At 42.1% G+C, this 15,804-nt stretch overlaps 1 protein-coding gene, 1 long non-coding RNA gene and 1 pseudogene across 6 annotated transcripts in view, besides 1 other annotated feature; 1 reads left to right on the top strand and 2 right to left on the bottom strand.

The window, feature by feature from the left end:
* Positions 1 to 15,804, bottom strand: part of SP100 (SP100 nuclear antigen) — a 129,406-nt gene that overhangs the window by 33,562 nt on the left and 80,040 nt on the right. For 2 of the 3 annotated variants that reach the window (NM_001080391.2, NM_003113.4), the window contains exons 19-24: positions 13,510 to 13,584; positions 8,935 to 8,979; positions 7,755 to 7,859; positions 5,600 to 5,742; positions 4,014 to 4,052; positions 879 to 920 (exon numbers count right to left, since the gene is read on the bottom strand). In NM_001080391.2, coding sequence (NP_001073860.1) covers positions 879 to 920; positions 4,014 to 4,052; positions 5,600 to 5,742; positions 7,755 to 7,859; positions 8,935 to 8,979; positions 13,510 to 13,584 — 449 coding nt within the window. Of the gene's footprint in view, positions 1 to 878; positions 921 to 3,898; positions 4,053 to 5,599; positions 5,743 to 7,754; positions 7,860 to 8,934; positions 8,980 to 13,509; positions 13,585 to 15,804 lie in introns of those variants that run through there. The other variant, NM_001206701.2, reaches the window with a different exon arrangement.
* The window catches only part of LOC101928816 (uncharacterized), a 71,871-nt gene that overhangs the window by 1,261 nt on the left and 54,806 nt on the right, over positions 1 to 15,804 (top strand). For 2 of the 3 annotated variants that reach the window (XR_001739925.2, XR_001739926.2), the window contains exons 2-3: positions 1,706 to 1,775; positions 13,237 to 14,498. This is a non-coding gene — a long non-coding RNA (uncharacterized LOC101928816). Of the gene's footprint in view, positions 1 to 1,705; positions 1,776 to 13,236; positions 14,499 to 15,804 lie in introns of those variants that run through there. The other variant, XR_427235.4, reaches the window with a different exon arrangement.
* On the bottom strand, positions 4,659 to 4,944 carry RN7SL834P (RNA, 7SL, cytoplasmic 834, pseudogene; annotated as a pseudogene).
* Positions 6,758 to 6,927: an enhancer, noted in NCBI's record as "active region_17225". NCBI's record gives its function as "activates an Ori minimal core promoter by ATAC-STARR-seq in GM12878 lymphoblastoid cells {active_cell/tissue: GM12878}" and the evidence as "EXISTENCE:reporter gene assay evidence [ECO:0000049][PMID:35858748]".

The raw sequence follows: 15,804 nt of genomic DNA, 5'->3' as shown, positions 1-15,804 counted from the left end.
AAATTAAAAAAATTAGCTGATGTGGTGGCATGCACCCGTAGTCCTGGCTATTTGGGAGGCTGAGGTGGGAGGATCACTTAAGCCCAGAAGGTTGAGGCTGCAGTGAGCTGTGATTGTGTCACTGCATTCTAGCCTGGGTGACACAGCAAGATCCTGTCTCAAAAAATTTATTTATTCCTAAACAGCCTTAATTTTGGTTGATAATGGAGCCTGTGGAATCAGGTTTGTACATCATTGAGCACCAGTCAAGAAGTGAGAATAAACATGCCTCATCAGTTGCCAAGTGGTGATGGTTTTTGTCCTAACCAGCTCAGCATACTGAGCCTAAACCTCCCTCAAGAGTGGCAATAGGGGCTTCATAAGAGACTCACTTTTCGTGTGTGTCTTCCTCTGCAGAACTAATGACAGAGTCCATACCTCGAACTCACCAGCTCGGCTCGGTCTGTTCCTTCTGGCTGACTGAGCTCTGTCTGCACCTTGGAGCAGATATTTGGGATTTTCCTTTCCATTCCCACCACCTACTTGAAAATGCTTTTATTTTCTGACATTTGATCCTTCTCCCTAATCGGCAGGCCAGCCCTGTCCATTACTACTTCAAGTTCTTGTCTCTGGAGGCCTCGGTGATCTAGAGCTCAGCCTCCTATACTCACTTTCTAAGGGAAATGAGGAAATTTGAAGATTTCTACTGAAACAAAAGGCTGCTTTTGCACTGAGACACCCAATCCCAGACCCAGGTACCTGGCTTGCATCTTCTAATCACACACAGCAACATACTCCAACTGAGACTGAGCATGCTTCGGGGAAAGGCAGTCATGACATAGTGTGCCTGGAGAAAGGCCTGACTTATTTTGGGGTCATAGTCGGAAATTTATACTTACACAAGGGTCAACTAAGGTATTGTTGTGAGATTCCAGTATTCTCTGTTGAAAAAAACAGAAAGATTGGTACAATATTGAGTGTGATTTTTCATTAACCCCACATTTGAACAGACTTCTTTATTTTTAAGGGATTCATGCCACAGCCCTTCTTTTGTTTCATGTCTGCTTTTATGGACCTGTACATCTAACTGAAGAATAAAAAAGCACTAAATTATGTGTCAGTGACAGTTTGGCCCAATGCAAGTGCCATTTCCTGGCTCTCACACCCAAGGCAGGCCTTCGTGAAACCATTCAGGGAGACTGAGCTGGAGCAACTCTATCGGTCCTCCTACTTCAAGGGGCCTGCAGGCATGTTTGTCTAAATTTGGAAGTGTCCAGGTGCAGTGGCTCATGCCTGTAATCCCAGCACTTTGGGAGGCCGAGGAGGGCAGATCACAAGGTCAAGAGATCAAGTCCATCCTGGCTAACGTGGTGAAACCCCGTCACTACTAAAAATACAAAAATTAGCTGAGTGTGGTGGCGCGCACCTGTAGTGGGCTGAGGGAGGAGAATCGCTTGAACCCGGGGGGTGGAGGTTGCAGTGAGCTGAGATTGCACCATTGCACTCTAGCCTGGTGACAGAGCTAGACTCTGTAAAAAAAAAAAAAAAAAAAAAAAAAAAAAAAAAAAAAAAAAAAAAAAAAAAAAAAAAAAGGAAGTGTCATTCCATCCAGAGAAGCTGCAAAGGGAATCGGCCGACTCTTCCTCCACAGCTCCCAGTGACCACAGGGCCCAGAGTCTTGGACACCATGCAGGTGTCCCAGGAATAACTCTAACCCTTTCTGCAGCTCTCCAGGAACACATCTTTGAAGACAAAATGCCTCCAAGATCCCCAGTACTGTAGCTCTTCTCCTGAAGGTAAGCACCTCTCCACTTTCTCCTGAATCTTGAGAGCTTGCTTTGACCTAGGGTATCTGTGGAATGAAACAATGACTGCTAAAGCTTTTACCTGTAGCTCAAGGCAGAGAGGCCTTAGACAAACCACTCAGTGGGATCCAAGGCATGATGATAGAAGAGGTGGCCATATTACCACCTGCCAGAAGCAATCTGGGCCTTTTGGCTAAGATAAAGTATAGCAGCTTAGTGGCCTAGAATCTCCCACTCCATCCCATGAGTTATTCACCCAGGTAAGACAATAAGGTTGACAGAATCCTTAAGGTTCATCCTTTTGGCCTCCTTTGTTTTGCATTATTTCATTGGCCAAGCCCATCACCTGGAGCTTTGTAGTGGCTCCACAGTTGTTTGTTTAATGGATACATAAGTGCATGAACAAGTGAACACAATTGTCACTTGGGAGAAGAGGTTTCTTAGCAGCCAGTAAACGATTAGCTTGGACTTTTATGACTTATTATCCTGGGGTATCTCAGCTATCACCAGCAGGTTTAACAAAAAACTTATAAGCAGGAAAGCTGGCAACAATAGCAGTTACCACGCGGTGCTGAGAGTGACACAAGCATTAGAAACCGAGGGGAGAGGAGGGAAGATAGACCCTCCGGGGAGATCCTCTGAGAACCGAGGCAATTTCACCTCTAGAGCTGTGGGCCCTCAGGGAATGGAGAGAGGGTGCCTGTGATGAAGGGATGGGAGATGGCCAGCTCAATTGATTAGCCCAGACTGCATCAGCCTTGACTGTCTGGCAGTGGGTAGACATGTTTGATTTTAATAATTATATCAAATAATGTCTTTCTCCAGAAAACCCAGTGGATACAGAGCCTAGTCACTGAATCTCTAGTCATAAAGCCAGTGGAGCAGGTAGCCCCAGGAGCCAGCTTTGTAAAGATTGTGACTTCCTGGTATGGCAGAAATATCCAAGGTCACCCATGTCAGAGCTTAGGAAAATGGAAGTTCTTCCATCTCCTTCCTTCACCAGGTTCTCTCTTATACCCAGCCTTGGAGAGGCCATGGAAGGCATCAGTGATCTCACCATTTTTCCATAGAATACATATAGTATGAAGACCACTGGTCTATGAACTCCACATACTACCTCCACAGAGGGAGAATTTCACCTTCACAGATAGAAGTGAGGTCTGTGCAGCCCTTTTACTGGGGCCAAAGGGCCTCTCCACAAAGGAAAAGATTTTCTAGGTCAGCAGCCTCACAGGGCACTCTGCCTCCCAGTCCAAAATTTTCACCTGAAGAACTCGCGTGTGTGTGTGTATGTGTGTGTGTGTGTGTGTGTATGTGTGTGTGTGTGTGTGTGTGTGTGTGTGGTGGAGGTAAAAGATAAAAGAAAAGGAGAGAATGTTTTTTGTTGTTTGCTTCCCTGGGTGACATATGCCTATATATACATTTTAGGGGGAATTCTCCATTAGGTCATGTGTAGTGACCATGGGATGTTTCTAGGGGAACTTTTGCTTCATATTTATTTCTAAAATATAGAATCCAGAAAAACCAGTGAAAAACAACCAGTGTTTATGTTGAGGTTGCAAAGGCACACTGTTTTGTGCATTTCAAACTCATGCTTATTTTTCCAATGCCAGCTCTATCTTTTATATTTAAAGAAAGTATGGCGCCAGGCATGGTGGCTCATGCCTGTAATCCCAGCCTTTTGGGAGGCTGAGGCGGGCAAATCACATGAGGTCAGGAGTTTGAGACAAGCCTGGCCAACGTGGTGAAACTCCATCTCTACTAAAAATACAAAAAAAATAGCCGGGCATCATGCCACACGCCTGTAGTCCCAGCTACTGGGGAGGCTGAGGCACAAGAATCGCTTGAACCAGGGAGGTGAAGGTTGCAGTGAGCCTAGATCACACCACTGCACTCCAGCTTGGGCGACAGAGTGAGACTCTTTCTCTTAAAAAAAAAAAAAAAAAAAAGTATGGCATTTAGCTCCTTTACTAAAAAACACATACAATTCAGTTCTGTCTTTTAATCTATTTCTGAGGATTGTTCCCACCTCTATCTCAAACGTTTTGATGTTCAAAGGAGCCCTGGACTTATACATTGAATAATGTTTGAAAGCAGCAACTGCAAAAGCATCATATTATAAAATCAAATTTTATGATGATGGGTCAATTTAAAGACTGTAAGTCCACAGAGATAGAAAATCAACAACATAATAGACGAGACATTGGCAGAAGATCACTTGATCATCACCTTTTTTCTTGTGCTTGGTGGTTCTGGCAGAAATTTGTTCTAAAAAAGAAAAGAGATAAATGATTTGATGGGTTCTTGCTTTTATTTTGTGAGCTTAGTATTTCTGACTGCCTTCCAAATATTCCTACCTGGATATCCCACTATTAACTCAAATTCAAGGTATTTTCATGGAAATTACTTTTCATGATTCTCCAGGGATTCAAGGAAGCATTTCAATGCCTTCCTCTGGCCTCATGACTTCTATAATCAGTCCAGAGAATGTAGCCACCTCATTACTCCCAACTTCTTGACACATTGTGGAGCAGATTTGCATGCTGTCCTTTCTATATATGTAGAATGCCCCATTCTACGTTTTTGCTAGTTGTTCATCTTTTTAGACCTAGCTCAGTGCAAGAGTTCCACAAAATGGTCCTCAACCTCAAAGCCAGAAATGACTTTCTCTTCTCCGATCTATTGTACCTCTTCCTGCAGGTGTCTCTTGTGAGAACATTGACACCGTGTCCAGGCCTGTAATTATGAAAGCACAGCCTTCCTTCTGGGAAGGGGCTCACACTTTGTATACCCTCCACAGCTTTAGATGTTGGTTCAATAAGTATTTACTGGGCAAAGATCTTTTATTTGTGTAATAGTTATTTATTTATTTTTAGAGATGGGGTCTTGCTGTGTTGCTCAGGCTGGAGTGCAGTGCAGTGCCTATCGACAGGTGCAAACCTACTACTGATCAGCAGGAAAGTATTGACCTGCTCTGTTTCCAACCTGGACTGGTTTACCCCTCCTTAGGCAATCTGGTGGTCCCCTATGTTGATGCTGAACTTAGCATGGATATCTCATTGGCATAGTACACTAAGCCCAGGACCCCTGGGCTCAAGTGACCCTCCTGCTTCTGTCTTCTGAGTAACTGGGACTACAGACATGTGCAACTGTGCCTGGCAGATTTTTTTTTTAATTGTTAGAGTGGCATGAGGAAGGACTGTCTGTGGGCGTGCAACAGAAAGCACTGTATTTGGAGTCTAAAGACACAGGTTCATCTGCAGCAAAGACCCTGTGCCTGCTTTGTAACATCAAGGGGTTCATATGAGAAGCAATGTTACTTTAAAATGCAATTTATTTATATTCTCTTACAAGAATAAATTTGAGGTGGCCTATTCAAAGAAATCTTGTTGAAATATTTTGTAATCCAGGAACTACATATATATATGTTAAATATGTGTGTGTGTGTGTGTGTGTGTGTGTGTGTGTGTGTGTGTGTATTTAACATTTACCTCCCCCGAAAATTTAAGACCTCCCCTCCAACTTAAGTTACTTTCATGTGACCAAATTGCACAGTTTATTAATGGCAGAGTCAAGGCCACAATTTACTGTCCAACCTTCAAAAGGGTAAGAAATAAAGTACTTAGAGGATTAAGCTGTAATATAAGCCAGCCAACGTAATGTTCAGGTGAGAACGTTAGTAATAACATATGCATGGAGACCTGGGCAGAGGAAGTCATGATGAATTTCTGGGCACTGAGAAATTCTGCTAAAGCTTGGTGTTAGTGAAGCATGACAGCTAAATCCTTGGTTTCAGCCATCTGTCACTAGAATACCTCCATCAGGACTTTCAGGGTATATCCACCGCAGCGTATACTTAGCTTCCAGTTCTTGGATGCTCCGCGGTCTCCTTCAATTTCAAATTCCCTGGGAGTGAACCACTTTTTATCCTCACTCTGTATACACTTCTTTGAGGTTCCTGTAAGACCAAGGCAAAGTGAGCTCCCCAACTGTGAAAACACCTGAACTTGGCCTCCCCCCATGCTGGGGTCTGGGGCCACCCACTTTGGGCTTAGGATCGTAGCAGTAAAGTCTGAATTTTCCTGTCAGATATCAGGGGCTTCATACCCAGCCTGAAGGAACAGAGATGAAGGGTTCTCTCTGTCATGTGTGTACATTTCTTTGACCATCATGCAATGAGAAGAAATATTACTACCAACATTTACCTTTTCAACGTATTTTGCTATATTCCAAAGGTGGGGGTGGGTGCAAAGAATGGCCCTAAAGAATGAGCAGAATTCTTCCTCCTCCCTTCTCTGAGACCTGATATAGAGTCAGCCTGAATTTCAGAGAGGTGGATGAAGGCATAAAGCCCTCTACCATGCTCTTGGGTCCCCAAGTGGCCATGTGGAAGCTGTTACTACAGCCACATCTGCCTTGTCTTGTACCATGTTGTACATGTGGTACAATCAATTATGTTTCATATTTTGAACTCATGGCTATTTTATATTAAAAGTAATTATGGAAATGTTATATAGTGGGAGAAGTTAAATTATGCTTATGCAACATAGTCATGGGGCAAACATTTATATTTGTTGGTGCTCAAAGAACTATGTTGTGGGGAGGTGTCAACCATGACAGATGAACATTAGTTCTGTAATTTAACAATTGTAACTTGCAAAGTATTTTATGTCTGTTTTTTTATTTTTTTCTCATAATAATACAGTGAGGCAAGTTATATTATTGTTCTGATTTTGTAGAGAAGGAAGTTCAAGGTTAGAGAGACCGAGCACCTGGCTGTAGATGAATCAGACACTCTTGGTATAGCTGAAACTTGAATGCAGGTCTTCTGATTCTAAACCCTGTGATCTTACCATTTAGCAGAAGGCTAAACAGATGTTATGGGAAATGGGGCGTGAAAGTTACTGCTGAGATTCTCAGATGTGTACATTTTCCACCCAAGTACTGAGGTGCTTGCCCTTGTAGTGGGTGCTAGTTGGATGTCTTGTGGGCCTTTCACATAGGGTAAGAGGAGATGGCCTCATAGGTTAATGTTTTATGAATTTTGAAAGTGTGAAAATGTCATTGTTGTGCAAAACAGAGTTAACAGAGTGGGCCTGAGACTTTCCTTAGAGGGCCTATATGCAAGGTTGGCCATTGTCCATATGCAAGTTTGGCCACTGGCATTTAGGAATTTGGATTTTAGGAGAGTTCTATCATTCCCAGAACTCACTGTGGGCTAAACTGTTCATAATAAACAATGTGGATAAACATATTGTTTATCCATAAAGATAAAGCCCTTTAGAGATAAATCCCTCTTATTTATGGTTATAAACAAATGCAATTTATTTATATTCTCTTACAAGAATAAATTTGAGATAGCCTATCCAAAGAAATCTTGTTAAAATGTTGTGTAATCTGGGAACTACCGATCCTGATGTATTATTTTCAGACATATGTAAATAAATTGCATTTATCTATAACCATAAATGAAGAAGAGGGCTCACTGTGCCTAAACTGTTTGCGCAAATGATATGGTTTATGCTGAACACCCGCTTTCCTTCTGGGAATCTGGAATTTTGGTATGTGCTAGGCAGAGGGCACCTATGTGACTGGTAAAAACCCTGGACTCCTAAACTCAGGCTGGTTTCCCTGGTAGACAACATTTTACATGTGTTGTCACAATTTGTTGCTGCAGTAATTAAATGAGTCCTGCATGACTCCACTGGGAGAGGACTCCTGGAAGCTTGCTTTTGGTTGTCTCTGAATTTCACCCCATGTGCATTTTCCCTATGGTATGTTTTGCATGCTTCTCTCATAAACCCTAGCTGTAAATGTGATGATGTCCCAAGTCCTAGGAAAGCTCCTAGCAAATCTTCAAGCCTGGGGCTGGTTTTGCAGAACCTCAAAGGCAAGTGTCTACTCCTAAACAGTATGCTATCTGTGTGGATATTTTCCAGCTGAAAATCGTAGATGGACCAGTAAACTCACCTTGTTTGAATCGCTCCTTATATAGAGTGCCCTTCACCTCACCACAGGTCACAGGAAGTTCAGATTGTTTAAAATTAATATTTTCATCTTTGGGAATTCTTGGACCTGCAAGGAAGCATTTTTTTTTCCATTCCATCTACTTTTACAACTGTGCATTGTCCCTCCCCACCTGTCTTGAGAGCTTTCTTTTATAATTCAAAATGTATTGGAGGTATTTCCCCCATGAATCAGTTACATTTCAAAGTCCTTCTTTCATGGCACATTAGATAGCTGTAGATACTGTTGTCCTCCATTCCACCCTCTAAAATATGACACAACATCCTGGCATGTGGTAGGATCTCAACTTTCAAGCTGGTTGGTCATATCCACCTATCACACAATGATTTTCCTCCTGATGTTTTGAAGGGAGATTTCCACTCATATTGCTTTGATGTTGTGTTAAAACAAACTCTCAAATTTTAGCCTCATCTCCCCATTCCAGGCATTGACTGAGGGGACAGAGGGCAGGATGGCAGAGTGGCACCTAATGGGGCACCTTTCGGGGTGGCATCTGTCTCCCTCTTTGCCAACTGCTTTGCTTCACTTTTTCACTTGAGCTTTCTCCGACGCTAAAAGGGAAGCTTGGTGTGGGGGGTTCTAGAAGAAACTGCACATTGAGAGAGGAGGGATAAAGAGAGATTGACGAAGCATTCAGATATACAGTTAGATAGAAGAAATAAAACCTGGTGTTTTCAATAGATCAATAGGGTGATTATAGTTAACATGAATTGATTATACATCTCAAAATAGCTAAAAGAGAATAATCTGAATGTTCCTGGCATCAAAAAAGGTAAATATTTAAAGTGATGGATATCCCAATAACTCTGATTTGATTATACGAAAGTATCAAATTGTCACATGTACCCCCAAGTATTTCTATCTATTACGTATTAATCAATCAATCAACAAAAAAGAACGTGCACATTGCTCAGGGAACCCTGCATGAGGGGTTGACTGGGACACTGGGGATCTGATTCCACTGAAGCAGGTATTGAGGGTCTTAAAATGAACTGCTGGTCAACGTTAAGGCTCCAGTACTAGCTCCATATGCCAATTAAGAAAACTGACTTGTTACTCACAGTACAGAATATTAAATATTAAATGTTTAATTATGAAAAACATATCGATCACTTCTATTTACCTCTTTTTCTTCTTCTTTTCAAAGGTCTAGTGTTGGCTTTTCTTCCTGAGAAAGTTGAAAAACAACATAAATGTCTCTTTACATTGCAAATAGTAGTGTTTTACAAAACCACCATTCAAATGCAACTTTTCAGGATCCTGTCTAGAACTTAAAGAAAAATATCAGGAGTCGGGAACTTTTTTTGTAAAGGGACAGATAGTAAGTAGTTAAGGTTTTTCAGTTCATAACCTCTGTTGTGACTACTCAACTCTGTAGTTGTGTCATGAATTCATCAAAGGATGCGACGGTGACTGTGTTCCAGTAAAACTTTATTTACAGTCAGCAGGATAGATTTGCCCTGTAGGTCATACTTTGCTGACCTCTGATCTAGACTCGGTTACAGCCACGATGCTTAACTGAGATGTATCCTATATTTCTCTATTAACGTCTCCAAATCATTCCAGATAAATTTGAAACAGTATTTTACCTGCTTCCCAAGCAACAGGAGGAGAGCAAGAATGAAGTTGAACACGTATTCAGTGCTTGTTGTATGCCAGGAGCTATCCTTAGATCTTTGCCTCTATTAACCGACTTCATCTTTACAACAAAATCTATTAAATAGGCACTAGTACTATCCTCACTTTACAGATGAGGAAACTGATGCTCAGAGATAAATATATAAATTAAAGTGTTGACAATTTTCTTTGGGAAAGAGTCAGAGATAAAAAGTAGAAACATAAGGTCTCAAGACAGACCTCATGGTAGACTCTACCAGTCAGATATGTAAACTTGGAAGGTTTTGTACTGAAAATGGTGAGGAAAATGACCAAGGACTTAAAAACTAACCCAATGAAGGCTATTCAAGAGGAACTTGTAGAAATTAAGGCACAAGGCCTAAGAGTTGTATGGTTAAAGATAGCACAAAGGATTGACTTAAAAGATATCTCAGGGCTGGGCCCGGTGGCTCAAGCCTGTAATCCCAACACTTTGGGAGGCCAAGGTGGATGGAGTTCTGAGGCTGAGGTCAGGAGTTCAAAACCAGCCTAGCCAACATGGTGAAACTCCGTCTCTACTAAAAATTAAAAAAAAAAAAAAAAAAGCTGGGTGTGGTGGTATGTGCCTGTAATCCCAGCTACTCGGGAGGCTGAGGCAGGAGAATTGCTTGAATCCGGGAGGCGGAGATTGCAGCGAGCCAAGATCACGCCACTGTACTCTAGCTTGGGCAGCAGAGCGAGACTCCATCTCAAAAAAGAAACAAATCTTGGAAGCATGTATCTATGTGTTGATCGGTGTGTCCAAATAAATAGCCAGTCATTCCAGATGTATGTTTAGATCTGCATCGTTCAAACGTGTTTGCTGAAGTCAGGGACACAAAGTGGATGCTCTTTCTTAAGGTCTGTGCCCATTATTCTGTGCCCATGGCTGGTATCATAGGGTGTGGATTTGGGTCCTGCAAGCCCCAGGAGAAAAACTCCTCCAGATGCTCAATTGTGAATGCTCCTTCCTTTGAGCAAATTATGACGAGATTAGGCTGGAAAGGCATGTTTCCTTCAATCTAGCATAAAGAAACCTTGGGATTGATGACACTGTATTTTCTGGGCCTCTGTCATAACAATTACTTAGAGGTTTTTTTGTTTTGTTTTGTTTTTTAACTTCATCAAGATAAAAATGGTACCATCAGACATTTACTGATAATTCACATGTCAAGAGGAATCATATCCTGAGAAAAAGCATGCTCTACCGCACAAGATGTTGCCCTTAGGAAGTTTATTAAAATATTATGGAGATACATGGGGAGGAGAGATGACTAAACCCATATAAAAGAATTATAAACTTGGCTATTGAACTAAAGGTTTCCCCCCAACCCCCTTTATTTTTTTTGAGACCGAGTCTTGCCCTCTTGCTCTGTTGCTCAGGCTGGAGTGCAGTGGCACGGATCTCGGCTGGCTGCAACCTCCACCTCCCAGGTTCAAGTGATTTTCCTTCCTCTGCCTCCCAAGTAGCTGGGATTATAGGTGTGCGCCACCACACCTGGCTAATTTTTGTATTTTTAGTAGAGACAGGGTTTTACCATGTTGCCCAGGCTTGTCTTAAATCCAGGGCTTAAGCAATCCACCTGCCTCAGCCTCCCAAAGTGCTGGGATTACAGGTGTGAGCCACCACACCTGGCCTGAACTAAAGGTTTAAAAGAAACACGTAAAATGTGGAAGAATGGAGACCTCAAGGAATTAGATGAAGCTTTCTTACCACTCGTTCCTTGTCTCTCAGGTAAAATTGCTCTAGATCGATCAGTTTCAAAGACCATGATTGGGCCAAGTATGGTAGTTGATGCGGTTGCCACAGTAAAATGTCATCCACACAGGGGTGGTTCTGTGTGGGACTCTCCCTCCTGTCACTCATGATGCTCAAGTTGCAGGTGCACCCAGGAAAACTGGCCACTTCTAACTCTTCTCTCCTCCTTCCCCCAACTCTCCCTTCTCCCCACAGTTCCATCAAAAGACACTTGTGTTCTGTCTGCTTTCTTCTTTCTCATAAAGTGGTCAAACTGGAGATCCAGCTCTGGCCATAACCTGGGTATGTTCAGCCCTAGCCATTATTGGTCAATGTATATTCTCTTGCTCTCAGTTTATCTCTTGTTTAAATCCTTCTTGGACTGCAGGGATTTCCTTTCAATCAAAACCTATTGAGGGCAAACAACTTCAGGGCAAAACACCAGAAGCTCATTGCGCTGCTTCCCAGCTCTTGGCCTGGAGACATCAGGGCTGAGGAGCAGATCATGTATAATAAAGTGCCGCAGAACTGTGCTTTCCAGTGGTTCTTTGTGTGTTCGCTGGCTCCAGCACCTCACTACAATTGTATATCCGGGCAGTCAAATGCCTGGACAAAGTAGGACTTAACTGTTCTTGGGTCTACTAGTTTTAATTCTACATTAACCATGTAAAATAATAATATGGTCAGAAAAAATTAAAAGTTATTTTAAAATATATATTTTTTCATAGCAGGGACTAATCATTCTTGGCAAAAGAGTATATCACCGTGTTTAGGCGACTCTTTGGTTATCTCAGAATATTAGCAGAAGCCTCAACATCCAAGAATGCCACAATAGGAGCCCAGTACTCCTATATCCTAAGGCAAGATGCCAGTCTATCTGCAAAGAACATGGTAGGGGATTGGGAGCCTGGTTCTGCCAGCATCAGCCTTCCCCACCTCCAGGCCTTATGAGAGAGGCCACATTTCTCTGGAGAGAATTGTCAGATACCTTCTCTCAAGCCAAATGAGGTTTAAAGACATCTAAGCAGGAGATGGACCTCCGTCCCTGGGAATGTCAGGGAATGAGAGACTCTCAGACTCACCTCTGAGAAGTGTAAAGGTGAAGGTCATGGCTAGCGGGGTCAAGGGTGCCAGAGGGCTGAGCTGGGAGCCAGCAGGGGAATAATGAAGAAGCACGATTCCCATGGTCTGGTGCAGACCTTGTGGATGGGAGCTGTACTGGGTGTTTTTAAGAGATACTCTCACTGAGGGAACAGCAGTGGGTTGTGTATCTTCTAGAAGGACCATCCAGTGTCTTAATTCCCAAGCAGGTTTGCCACCACCAACTATGGAGAAGCAGTTGCATACATTTATATATATATATATAGGGGGAGAGAGAGAGAGAGAGAGAGAGTCTATATGAAGTTATGTGGCCAGAGAAAGAGTTTTAGGTGTTAAAACTCTTTTAGATGACAAATTTGTCTGTAAATTTGAGCAGGATAACAACAGGGCAGTCTGGCAGGAGATGATGTCTGTCTTCTCTGCTTGCCTCCTCCTTCATGCACCTTTCTCCTGGCTGAAAGAACAGCTCATCAGAGTTCCAGAATCATCTGCAAGTTGTACAGGGAGGAGGCTTTGCATTTTAGAGCCTCTATGTGGTGGAGGTGGGGACTGAAGAGCTGATTTAGTAGAAACAGGTGTGAAGGTCTTAAAATTAACTTGAGGATTCTGAGCTGCTGTTCCAACCCTTCCAGCCAGTGACACTGGGGAAGAGGCACAGTCTACAAGAGCTCTGTGCTGATGATGCGGGAGAGGGGGCTGTCCATAGTTTTTACCGAGTCCTGTAGGAGATCCACGGAATGAGAAGCCACATGGGAAGCTGGTATGGGCCTTGGAGGGCAGCCAGTCTTGTCTAACTGACTTAATTTCACTTTACAGATGAGTAAACTGTAATTTACTTGGGGCAGACCCAAGTCCACACAATTACCACGTGGTGATGGGCAAGAGGAGGGACAGCTACATCACTTGTGAATTACATAGGTTTTGTTTGTTTTGTTTTTGTTTTTATGCCAGCAACTATTTCCAGCCTTGAAAGTTATCAGCTCAGGAGAGGAAGCACTGCAAGCAGCTCCTGGGCCCTGGGGTATGGTTGCAGATTCATCACCTAGCTACTTGTTTGTGGTGTTATCATCTTTTTTTCCCTGACATATTTTGGAACTTGACTACATCTGATATATTTCTCAACAGTAAGTACAGCTACATAAAGCATTTAGGAAAAAAATGTTTCTTACTAAGAGCATGAGAATTTAGACGTTATTTATTTAAAATGTATTTTTTTTTTTTTACCTCTTTGTTGCCATCTTTTCTTTTGGACTTTGTTATTCAGAGTTAAATGTTTTCTAGGTCTGTCTTTCTTTCTCCCTGAGAAAATAGGAAAATATAAATATGGATGGTGTAAAAAACTCACATTATATATAATAGTGCTTTCAAAAATTTTATTTAGCTATAACTTTTCCAGAGCCTAACACACAAAGAAAAATATGTAACACATAGCCTTGCAATTACCAAGCCTTTGATGGTTAACCTGGGTTCATCCTAGATTTTCTTTCCTTTCCCGTGACATTAATCCAAATTCATTTGCCTCCCCCCAACATTAATTTTAAAAAGAATTTACGACAGTTTCATTTATATCCCAAAGAATACTGTAAGAATAATAATAATGAGGGCTAAGACTTAAGTGCTTATTATGTGCTAGACACTAACACAAGATATTTACATCTACTAATTCATTTATGAGATAGAGACTTTTACTACCCCTATGACCAATGAAGAAACTTCAGCATACAGATATTGCAAAATGAAGTGAAGCATTGCAGATTTCCTCTGGTTGTAGGCAGAAATCAATGGCAGCAATGCAAGAATTTGGATTGTCCTGCTCATTATGATGGTGACACACTAGCCACCATCTTAGCCCTCAATGAAGGCTTTGAGGCTGAAAATACAGTGAAAATGACCAAAGACCTTATTCACATAGGTTTGGCCAAAAAATTAGGATCTAAGAAACTAACCAAGAGATTATTGTCCAAGGGGAATTTGTATAGAGATTCAAGTCCCAGAAAGCCTTAGGGTTAGGACTAACAAAGGGTTGATTAAAACCCTATTTCAGGAATATGCTGTTAGATTCAGCAGGTGATGGGGGTAGGTAGAAAGACAGTGAGGTATGTGCAGGAGCATCTCATGAGTGCCATGTTTAAAGGTGCTGATCCTTTCCTTTCCTTTCCTTTCCTTTCCTTTCCTTTCCTTTCCTTTCCTTTCCTTTCCTTTCCTTTCCTTTCCTCTCCTCTCCTCTCCTCTCCTCTCCTCTCCTCTCCTCTCCTCTCCTCTCCTCTCCTCCCCTCCCCTCCCCTCCCCTCCTTCCCTTCATCCTTTCCTCCTTCCCTTCATCCTTCCCTCCTTCCCTCTTTCCCTCCTCACACCATCTCCCTGCATTTTTCTTTCCTTTCTTTCTTTATATGGCCTGGCCACAATTTGAACTTGTCCAACCATAAATATCTTAGACAAACAAAGACTCTTTTTCTGTTCATCTATGTCTTTGGTCCTGTTGTAGTCACCTTTCATCAAAGTCCACTGAGGACAAACAAATTAGAGGTATACAAGTAGTTTAGTTCCGTTTACTCGAGCTCTACTTACTAGAAGATTTGGGGCTTAAGATCTGCTAATACTATAGAGCTCTTGGGACTTCCTTTGTAATTATTCTTTGCAAATTGTCTTGCTCAAATACCCCACAGGAAGTAGTGTGGCTATTCTTGGATTTCCTACCCAAATACTAAAGGTTAACACCATGTTATAGAAGTTGAGTAAAGTGCTCCTCCGTCCTTAAGGCAACTGAGAAGACTTCAGTTTCAATGTAACTGATCTTCACCTTCAGGAGTTTGAGGAAGGCAGAGACATTTATAGACTCAATCCTAGAATGTTGAGAGGGTATGAAGAGTCATAATTCCTATAGGTCTCCCTAGGGAAAGGAGGAACTCACTTAGTTCTTCTTGAGAGATATTCTGTCTGGGAGAATCACTTGGATGGATGAGTTGACCCCAGCAGGAGTGTAGTGTGGACCTCCCAGAGCTGGGAGACTGAGGGAATTGGTAAGCATCCAGTTGAAGTTCCTGAATTAGGGGAACTTTGGTTGAGAGGTTCTCTCTAAGTTGAGTGTCTCTGAAGAACTCACAAATGAATATGGCTCATGCATCCACCATATCTAGGAGACACCAAAATCTATAAGGTTGGTGCAAAAGTAATTGCAGTTTTTGCTATTCCCTTTTTTTTTAAAAGGCAAAACCCACAATTACTTTTGCACCAACCTATATAGTATGAGGACCATTCCTGCTCCTGTCCACTTCCTTCTCCTCCTCCTCCTAGACCCAAATTAGCTGAAAGCAATAGACACTGAGTGGAGTTGGAGAGGAAGTGTGGATGAAAGTAAATGCTGACTTCACCCAGCTTCCCTACCACATAATTTCCAGTTTTAATATTATATCAGCTCACGCTTTTTAATATTAAATGAGATATTACCGCTAAAAGGGACTAGCATAGCTCTAGGGCTTACCTAAGACTTCATCCATTGGCAAGAAAAGAACTATTTGA

The sequence above is a fragment of the Homo sapiens genome, chromosome 2, assembly GCF_000001405.40.
Source record: "Homo sapiens chromosome 2, GRCh38.p14 Primary Assembly".
Taxonomy (NCBI): Eukaryota; Metazoa; Chordata; class Mammalia; order Primates; family Hominidae; genus Homo; species Homo sapiens.
This window is presented reverse-complemented; position numbering and strand designations above follow the sequence as displayed.